At 40.7% G+C, this 11,106-nt stretch overlaps 2 annotated features.

Annotated features, from left to right (window-relative positions):
- Positions 4,395–4,584: an enhancer, noted in NCBI's record as "active region_20594". NCBI's record gives its function as "activates an Ori minimal core promoter by ATAC-STARR-seq in GM12878 lymphoblastoid cells {active_cell/tissue: GM12878}" and the evidence as "EXISTENCE:reporter gene assay evidence [ECO:0000049][PMID:35858748]".
- Positions 7,360–7,469: an enhancer, noted in NCBI's record as "active region_20595". NCBI's record gives its function as "activates an Ori minimal core promoter by ATAC-STARR-seq in GM12878 lymphoblastoid cells {active_cell/tissue: GM12878}" and the evidence as "EXISTENCE:reporter gene assay evidence [ECO:0000049][PMID:35858748]".

Genomic DNA, 11,106 nt, shown 5'->3' on the forward strand with positions numbered 1-11,106 from the left:
CCACACCCAGCTAATTTTTGTATTTTTAGTGAGGATGGGGTTTCACTATATTTGCCAGGCTAGTCTCGAACTCCTGGCCTCAAGTGATCCGCCTGCCTCAGCCTCCCAAAATGCTGGGATTACAGGTGTGAGCCATTGTGCCTGGCCTAAATGCCTTTTCTTTATAAATTACTCAGTCTCAGGTATTCTGTTACAAGCAACAGAAAATTGGCCAAGACAGAGAGACTAAAACAGATACAAATATTTTGAAATAAATAATTCTGTACCAAGAAAAAGTATGAAAAACAACTATCAATAATATTCTCAGAGAGATAAAAGAAGATATTGCAGTCCAGGTATGTGGCTTATGCCTGTAATCCCAACACTTCGGGAGGGTGAGGCAGGAATTTCACTTAAGGCCAGGAGTTTGAGACCAACTGGGGCAATATAGTGAGATCTTGTCTCTACAAAAAATACAAAAATTAGTTGGGCTTGTTGGTGTGCCCTTGCAGTCTCAGCTATCTGGGTGGCTGAGGTGGGAGGATCACCTGAGCCCAGGAGTTGGAGGCTGCAGTGAGGTGTGATCATGCCACCACACTCCAGCCTGGGTGACAGAGTAAGACCTTGCCTCAAAAAAAAAAAAAAAAAAAAAAAAAAAAAAAATGTCAGCCATGAAACAAACAAACAACAAAAAACGGATTGCTATTAAACAAAGAACTGTTGGGATTTAAAAACATGTGAGATAAAAGTAAACATTCAATAGAAGGGTTAGAAGAAAAATTTGATGAAATCTTTCAAATGGTAGAAGAAAAATTCTAGTAATAGAAAATTGAAGTGACAATATAAGAAAGTTATAGGACCAGTATAGGAGGTCCAATATCCAAATAATAAAAGTCAAAGGAACAGAGTATAGAGATAGCAAAGAAGAATACATTATTAAATAAATAAGAGAATTTTTCAGAATTAAAAACTTGATTATACAGATTGAGAGGTCCCACTGAGTGTCAAACACAATGAGAGAAAATCAGCCAACTCTAAGACGCATTATAAAATTTTAGAACACTGGGAATGAGGAAAGATGCCAAAAGCCTTTAGAGAGAAAAAGCAGGTTATGTTGTGAGGGTCAGGAATCAAATAGTATTGGAAATCTCAACAGTGACACTGGAAGTTACTGTAGGATATAAAATAAAACATCAAAATATTGAGATGAGATGACTTTGATGCCCACTTGTATCAGTCAGCGTTCTCCAGAGAAACCAATATGATATGTCCAGTGGGATATACAGTCAGCCCTCCGTATCTGTGGTTCTATATCTGCAGATTCCACCAACCCTGGATCAAAAATGTTTAAAAAAGTCCCCAAAACCAAAAAAACCCCTCACAACAATGAAAAGATACAAATTAAAAATAATACAGTATAACAGCTGTTTATATTGCATTAGGCATTATATGTAGTCTAGAGATGATTTAAAGTACAGTCATGCATTGCTTAAAGCTTGGGATATGTTCTGAGAAGTGTATAACTAGGCCCTTTTGTTGTTATGTGAACATTACAGAATGTACTTCCACAAACCTAGATGGTATAGTTTACTACTAGGCTCTATGGTACAGCCTATTGCTCCTAAGCTACAAACCTGTACAGTATGTTATGTACTGAATACTGTAAATAATTATAACACAATGGTATTTGTGTATCTTTTTTTTTTCTGAAATGGAGTTTCGCTCTTGTTGCCCAGGCTGGAGTGCAGTGGCATGATCTCGGCTCACTGCAACCTTCGCCTCCCAGGTTCAAGGGATTCTCCTGTCTCAGCCTCCTGAGTAGCTGGGATTACAGGTGCCTGGAACCACACTCAGTTAATTTGTTGACAGTGTTTGTGTATCCAAACATAGAAAAGGTATAGTAAGGGCATGGTATTATAATCTTTTGTGTAAGTGGTCCATTGTTGACCAAAATGTCATTATGTGGTGGTGTGCTTAGGTTATATGCAAATATCATGCCATTTTATATAAGGGACTTAAACATTCTCAGATTTTGGTATCCCAGGAGGTCCTGGAACCAATCTCGCATGGATACTGAGGGACGACTGTGTATGTAACATTATATATGTAAAATATATACAAATAGATTTATTTCAAGTAATTGGCTCGTGATCATGGGGGCAGGCAAGTCTAAAATCTGTAGGGTGGCTGTAGACGCAGGCAGGAATTATTGTTGTAGTCTTGAGGAAGAATTTCTTCTTTTTCAGGAAACATCAGTTTTTGCTTTCCAAGCCTTTCAGTGGATTTGATGAAGTCCACTCACATTATCGAAGATAATCTTAATCTCTTTTGCTTAAAGTCAACTGATCGTAGATGTTAAGCACATTTACAAAATACCTTCAGAGCAACATCTAGATTTGAGTTTGATTAAGTAAGTGGGTACTATAGCTTAGCCAAGCTGACACATAAGACTAATCATCACAAAAACTGAACTATCAATTAAGTGTGCTAGTAGAATAAGATGTTTTCAAGGATAGAAAGCCTAAACAATTTTATATGCCATACACCCTTTCTCAGGAAGCTATTGGAGGACATGTTCCAACAAACCAGGAAATTAAACTGAGCAAAAGGAAGATATGTGTCTCAGATGGACTCCCTCGAAGACTTTGAGACATTGATTCTTGTGCAAGTGATTTATTAAAGAGACCTATAAAGGAGTGGAGGAAGCAGGACAAAAGAGAGAGGAAGCCAATCAAGTTGTGATTCCAGGCAGCGTTTCATGGAGGGTGACTTCTATCTGATCCTGGAGAATTCTGTGGTATAAATGACTTCAGAGTTGTCCCAACCTGAGGCAAGGGAGCTGGCTGGCATATTCCCAAACTAGTATAAGAATCAATTATACTAGTCAATGCTCTGGAGGGTGGGGGCTGGGGGATAAAAATTCCTAGGCACTTGGTTCTCTGGCTTTAGACAAAGCACTTCCAGTAGCCAAGGGCAGTCTTCTGAAGAAGGTCCGTAGGTGCTGGCTGTTGGAAGCAAAAGCACACTGAAGCCAGGAAGTGTGCGTGTGTGTGTGTGTGTATGTGTGTGTGTGCGTGTGTGCACTAAAAGTGGTGAAATGGGGTATAATACTACAAACTGGGATACAGGAAACAGAAGATCCAAAACAGGAAACAAAGCTATCCCTAGGATAATGGTGAAGGGAAGCCTAAAAACAACAGCTGTGCAAACAGTTCAGATTGCCATAGTGGATCAGAAGACCAGGAGATAATTATTCAAGAAGGCAAAAATGATTAGATGCTGAATGAGTTTGAACGTAGTAAGAAGATGTTTACATATATGGGGAAGACTTTGAGGTTGAATTCATGATAAGGATATAGAAAACTTAACAAACGAAAGACCAAGACAAGCGTAAACTCAAGGGAAAACAAACTGTATTATAAAGTAATGTAATCATAGCTCACAAGCCTCACAAGTAAGTTGTGAATAGCATTTACATCATCATAATAATGTAAACACTGAATGTTTTGAATTTAACTAAAATTATGAATCAACTCCATTGGGAGGATCAGGATAGGAAGTAGGTGTGTGTGGTGTGATTGCAAAGAATGGTGAAAAAGTCGCATTTTTCATATTGGGAAGCCAGTGGATGGTGCAATGAAAAAAATCGAAAAGTAGCAGTATCAGCACATTACTTATAGATAGGGGCAAAAATGTCCAAAACATCTTCTAGAAGTTGAAAGTTTTTTCCTCTGGTGGTGAAACTGGGGGCGGGGAGGGGATGGGGCAGTGTATACAACTGCTATTTTTCATGCAAGTCTTACAAAATGATCTGACTCTTGAAACTGTGTGCATGCAGAACATTTATTAAAAATAAAGAAGTAAATTAAAAAAGGAAGCAAGTCCTGAAGGCAGAGATGACAGAGATGTCGGAAATTAGGAAGAATAGGAGGCTGATTCAGATATATTTTAGCTGTATTAATTTGTGTTCTCCCACTCCCAAGCAGGGCCCCAGTAGATAACAATGCCAGCAAGGAGGCTTTGATCTTCAGACTTTAGGAACAAAGAATCTTAGAATTTGAAAAGTTAAACTCATAGGGTCATAAAAGTTTGCAGTTTTACGTGGACTGAATCTCATTATGACTCATTTTCTAAAACTCCACTCTGGCTATAGCGTGCCATGATTGCACCTGTGAATAGTCACTGCACTGCAGTCTGGGCAACATAGTGAGACCTTGTCTCTAAAAAAGCAAAAATAACCCTCCACTCAGGTGTTACTTCCTCTAAGAAAACTTTACTGATCCCTCCCTACATCCCCAAGATGCCTGGGTTTCTTGCTATCCAGCACTCATCAGCCTATAGTAGCAGGTTGTTTACTTGCCTTCTCCCTCCACTGATGGCCGAACATGTGCTTGCAATCACTTCCAGGTAAATGCAGTCATTTCCAGAATGAACACCATTGTTCAGGAACTCCCACTCTTTCCCTGGAGCAGCATCAATTTACCTCAGCTTCGTGGAGAGCTCCTGGTGTCTGGTCACAGCAAAAGTCCCTGCTGGCATCTGAGATGTGTAACTGTCTTCCTCTGGTTTGGTTCCTGGCATCCATCCTAGTGACCTGCTGAGATGTCTGTGCCATTGGTCTGTGCCTTTCTTGTCTTGACCACAGGGACCCTCCTTATCTTCTGTTCGTCCTAAGCCACATCCTTGAGCCCCCTGGCTGTACTCCTGAGCCTCTATAAGGCCGAGGAAGACTCAGGGTTGGCTATGCCAGGCTCTGTTTGCTCAAATGTGTCCTGCTACCATTTTGCTCCACTACATCTGTACCATATTTGGGGCTATGAAACTCTTAGGAACCTCACTTACCCGGCTGGGTCTTTCCTGGGAATGACAAACATCCGTTCTCCTACAGATCCCTGAACTAATCTGTATTAGTTTCTATTGCTCTACAACTATGTTATCGCAAACTAGAACAACATATATTTATTATCTCATGATTTCTGTGAATCAGAAGTCTGACTACTGCTTAGCTGGGTTCTTTGCAAGGCTGCAGTCCAGGTGTTGGCCAGGACTGAGTTCTCATCTGAGGCTCAACTGGGGAAAAATCTGCTTCCAAGCTCACATGGTTGTTAGCAGCATTCAGTTCCTTGCAGGCTGCCAGACTGGGAGGGGGTCTCAGTTTCTTGCTGGCTGTTCATTGGAGGCTGCTCTCAGTTCCTTGCCACATGGTCCTCTCCATAGGTAATGCACACAGCAGCTGGCTATTTACAGCCAGCAAGGAAGAGTGTCTCTTTGCAAGATGGGCACTATAATTGTATGTAGCATAATCACATGCACATAATCATGTACATCTCTTACCTTTGCTGTATTCTATTGGTTAGAAACAAGTCATAGGGTCCACCTACACTCAGCAGAGGGAATTAGGCAAGGATGTGAATTCCAGGAGGTGGCGATCATGGCGGAATACCTTAAGGTTTGCTCCCTGCGAGGTCTGTCTCCTGGACCTAAAACTCTCACCTGAGGGTGCAGATTCCCACTTCTGCATTAATCTCTGACTCTCCCTGAACATCTTTGTTTCCTCCTGGCCTGTGGAGTCTTGGGTGGCAAAATTAACTTTCTCTTTTCTCAGGCATGTCTTCTAAATTCTATTGTTTGTAGAAGCCTGGCTTTTTGTACTCAGAAACGAGGATTTTGAGATTTTTATGCTATGTTCTCTGCCAGAAATTTCAAAACCTAAAAGCCAGAAACTCATTTTTGTTCTTTATTTTTTATGCCTTTCCTTTCCAATTCAGTAAGCCCAGACTGCCCTAGCTATTGCCTGAGAAGTGGGGAAAGGTCATGGGCAAAAGTGAATGACTGAGAATAATATCACTATGCCCTGAATAATACACAGGATCTGCTGGAATGAACACAGACGCAACACCAGAGATCTGGGTACAAATCTTGGCTCTACCACTTACTAGCTTTGTGATCATGGGCAAGTCATTAATTTTCTATGAGCCTCAGTTTCCTCACCTGTGAAATAGTGATAATCATACCTACTCTTATAATGCTGAAAGAATGTTCGTAAAGTCGGTAAGATTCTTTTGTAAATTATAAAGTGTCATATATGTACGTATTACTATTATAGTTGTTGGATTCTCTGATGGGTGGTTAAAATTGACACAAGTATGCAAGAGACCCCCTAACAGTGATTGTAGATCAAACTCAATTATGAAAAGGCTTCTTTGTAGTTCTGGAGTTGGCAGAGAGGCTAATGCCTTTGATAGAGGTGAAATGTGTGATAGCAGATGCTGACTACACACTTGTCACTATGTCTTGGGCAAGCTCTAGTTTGACTTGAGATTTTACCAAATCAGCATCATTATACCAGATGGTAATATTATGTGTGTGGATGCCTCAGGTAAATTATAGAGATGGAGTGAATGAACAGTCAGATTCCTAAACCCAGACCTATCCACTCCTGGGAGTGTTATTCCAAATGCTGTTTGGATACAGTTTATTTATTCTCTGCACAATGTTCTTTCCATCACATCCATCACGTTCCTCATCCCAGGCTCTGTGCAGGAGAGAGTTATATCATGCATAGATTTGCAGAAGTATTTTCTTCTCCTTTGACTTGCTCAAACAATATTAATTTTAATAAGCATTTATGGAGGCCCTGCTGTCAATGGGTGGTATGGAAGACACAAACAGGCTATAAAATTCTTCTAACTTTTTCGCAAAAATCTCATCTTCTGTTGCGTAGTAGCTCATCTTTTTCTTGAAGGAAGAAATTGATACCTCACATTGCAGACTCAGCTGAACGCCTATAAAATGAGGGAATCAGCCTGTTACATGGCTACGAAATTAGAGTCCTACTGATGGTAGAAGAAACTTCTTGAGAAGGCTGTCACAATCTGGCCATAGAGGTTTTGAATTGTCTTTCTGGACTCAATCTAAAGATCTTTGTCTCCTTGTTGGGGTCTTTCTGCATTATCTCTCTTTAGGCAAGCTGAATTGAACATGCAATGTCTGAGTAATGGCATTATTTATTTAATATTCATAGCAGAGTGAATGCAGTTTCATTTTGACATGGGATAAAGAAAGAGAGAGGGTGATTTAGTGATCTTAAATGCTGGTGTTTTGGGCCAAGTGAGACAAAGGGTGTGATTAACAAAGGGACTCCCTGTGGGTGTCAGAGTGAGAGGCCAAGCTTGCCTGACTGTACAGAGAAGAGATACAAGAGTGGGGTGTCAGTGTCTGGGAGGCTTCACCAGCCTTAGGGCTACCAGGGGATTAAGCGCAGCTCCAAGGTTGAGAGTGAGTGTTTACTTCCTGCATTCTTTCACTGTCCTTGCTCTAGCCCACAGGTATTAACTCTGAAAGGCATAGACAAAGGCAGGTGGGGGTTATTAACATTTGTGAGTCCTTACTATGCTCCAAGCCCAGGGTTAAGGACCTTACAGAAGGAGCCTCATTTAATCACAATAAGAACTGTGAAGCAAGTACAATGACTGTGAGTTTCATAGTACAATAAGACTCAGATGAGGAGAAATGAAACTAAAAATTTCTCAAACATTGAATTCAGTTTGCAAATTCTTATTTTTGATTCTAGAAGAATGTGTAGTCTAGCAATGTTCCAAGACTTTTAGCCCAACATATTAATTCCTTGGTTATTTATAGTTCAAAATGTAACCATTTCAAGGTCTCTGCCCCTCATGCTCATGCATTTTATTCAAGGGAATCTTCAGAATCAAGTGGCCTTGGGGTAGCAGGTGTCTGGCCTGTGGTTGTCTCACCAATGTAGCAATCTGCTGCAGATGCTCCTCTTTGTCTCTTGTCCCATCTCAGTCTGGGCACGCTGCTTATTCTGGGAGCAGGGAAATTTTCCTTTGTTGACTTGGCCCCACTTTTGCTCTTGTGTTGCTGCTGACACCCTGAGTTCATTTGCAGAGACTTTTGTCTGATCTGTCTGGGCAAGCATTGCCAGCCTCGGCTCTCAGGTTCACTTGCCTTGTGCTATGGTTACCTCCAGGCTGGCTCATGGGTGCTCATTCTCAGTGACCTTCTGCTCTCCAGTTAGGCCCACACAGACTCCTGGGGCTCCTCCATCCAGGCCCATTACCTTTCACTGTCATCTCTGCAAGGCTGCTGGCTGATCTCAGGACTCTAGCATGAGCAACAAGTCCCCTCCACTCTCAGATCCTCTCTGCCCAGCATGGGCTTGGCCCAGAGGGGAGAGGCAGGGACTTGGGCTCCTCCAGAGTGTATTCTTATTTCTTCTCTCAAAACTCTCTTCCTTCTCCTCCAGCTTTGAAGTCTTCCATTTTCTGTGGAGTACAAGGACATACCTGCTCTCTCTATGGGCATCCCCATTTCAAATTTTTCCTGTCTCACACCTAGAAAGTGTCATTTGACCTTAAAAGATTAAGAATGCAGCACATTTGTTCTCAAAGTTAACTGTTTGTTACTACATCAGGATGTCTTTCCCTTTAGTTGCAGAGCCTGGGTAGGACAGTGCCTATATAGCATCACATCAACTAATGCTATGGAATATAATTTTGCTGTACTAGTGTTATCCCCATTTCACACATGAAGAAAATCCAGAATTGCCTTAAAGCAGATGATTTCCCCCTGAAATCATGCTCCCCAGAGAAGTTCAGTGCTAGGTTCTCAGTGGGTAAAAGACGTGCCTTATAAGGCATTACAGGCCCCAGCGTCACACTGGAATTGTTGCTCTTGAAGTGCAAGACACAAGAGTCATCATTGGAAGACTGGCTCTGCTAGATGGGGCTGTGAGAACTATGTCAAGTATACAGGTAACGGGCAGGTTCCGGCAAACAGGCCCCTTATGTTTTGGCCAAAGCAGGAAGAAGGAAGTGGTTGAGTGCATTCCCAAGTATGCTGACTTTGCTATGCATTCAAGGAATCAGAGAAACCAATAAGAACCCCCAAGTAGGTTCTATCCAGTAAAGATGGCTTTGGAGATAAAAGAGTTAAAAAATAAGGGGATATTCTTGACTTCTGAGGGCTGATTCACCAGTAGGCATAAATGCAGTGTTGGGGAGACATAGAAGACACATGAATCCCCAGCTTCCCAGAAAGAAATATTAATTGTCAGAAATGCAATAGAGGACCTCTAACTGAAGATGGTAGACTGAAGTATGCCCTTATTTCTACTTCTTAGCAGATCTCACTGAAATGACAGAAGAAATAATAAAAATACAAGCCCTCCAGACAATGAATACAAGACAGACTATACCTTCAGACATGCATATTTGAAAGTCCCCTCACAAAGTGCCTGGATCACCACATGATCCCCTGCTGTAAAGCCCACCAGCCAATAAGGCCCACCCAAGCACAGACAGCTTTTAGGACTTCATTTTTGGATAGAAAACCAAACCAAACCAACCAACAAAACAAATAAACAAACAACCAAAAACAATAACCCTACCCAAACCCAAATAGAGAAATCCCAAAGATCATCAGGCATTTGAAAAACATCTCCTACAGGAAAGACAGTGAACAAAACAAGCAAATCAGACAAAATATCTCTGAGGAAACACAAGAAGGGGAGAAGAAACAAAACAAAACAAAATGTGTTCTATAAAATAGGATCTACAAAGATCCTCATAGGGAGCTAAGAGGTAATATCATATGGATATTTTCAGAGAGATAAAAGGTGATTTCACATGGAAGTGCTCCTGAGAATTTAAAATACGATAAAATAATATATTCAATAAATGAGTTGGAAGTTAACATTGAGGAAGATAATGTGGAAGATAATCTCTCAAAAATAGAACAAAAAGCCAAAGAGATGGAAAACAGGAAAGTTAAAACTGGAGAATCAGTTCAGGATGGCAACATTGAGAAATAGGAGCCTCAAGGAGTCACCAAGGAGAGGAAACAATCACAGAAATAATACAGGAGGAATTGCCAAAGCTGTAGGACAGGAACCTCTGAATTTAAAAGCCCAGCACAGTAAATTAACAGAATTTGACCCCGAAGCTCATCTTCATGTAATTTCAAAATACCAGGAATATAGAGAAGAATCTACAAGCTTCTAAGGAGAATAAACAGATTACATACAACTTATCAGAAATCAGAATGACATGGAATTTGTTAAAAGAAACCCTGGAATCTGGAAGACAAGGAGTAATGCTTTCAAAATTCTAGGAAAATACATTTCAATCTAGAATTCCACACCATCAATCACGTGTGAAAGTAGAATGAATTTGAAGATGTATAAATTCCTAAACATGTATCTTCTTTGCATAATGTTCAGAAGGCTTCTGGGTGTGTGCTCCACAAAATAAGATTGCAAACCAAGAAAGAGAACATCAAGTCAGTGCAGGGAAAGGCAACACAGAAGAGAGGCAAAGGGCATTCCCAGGATAATGGTAAGAGAAGTTTCAGGATTGCAACTACTCACTAGGTCTAGAGAGTATCAGTTAAGATTTGAACAGAAGGATGGAAGCCTCCACTAGGAATGTCTCCAAGAAAACTACTGGAATTGATAGATGAGCCAATATGTTTGATGGTATTTAAATGGTCCATATCTTCCACAGGAGGAAGTTGACATATAAAGTATAAAACAGAAAACTTAAGATCTCTATTAATATGGCTTAGAAATATGCAATCGGAAGCAACGTTTAAAAAATAACCCTGAAAATAGTTGGCTTTGAGGAAGGAGATTCAGGGGTAAAGAAGGAGTGATCCTAAGGACTGATGTTTTCATTTTAAGTCCGTAGTTCTATTTAAAAGTATATATATGGGTCAGGAGCAGTGGCTCACATCTGTAATCCCAGCACTTTTATAGGCCAAGGTGGGTGAATTGCTTGAATTCAGGAATTTGAGACCAGCCTGGGCAACATGGTGAAACCCTGTCTCTACAAAAAATAGAAAAATTAGCTGGGCGTGATGGCATGTGCATGTAGCCCAGCTGCTTGGGAGACTGAGGTGGGAGAATTGCTTGAGCCTGGGAGGTTGAGGCTGCAGTGAGCCAAGATTGTGCCACTACACTCCACCCTGGGCAACATAGCAAGACCCTGTCTCAAAAAAAGTATGTATATGTATTATTTTGAAAAAGATTATTTGGAAATTTGCTGATATTTGGCAGTTTGGCCTATGAAAATTGCAATTTCACATGGTTCAACTTAAAATTAAATT

Source organism: Homo sapiens, chromosome 3 (genome assembly GCF_000001405.40).
Source record: "Homo sapiens chromosome 3, GRCh38.p14 Primary Assembly".
NCBI lineage: Eukaryota > Metazoa > Chordata > Mammalia > Primates > Hominidae > Homo > Homo sapiens.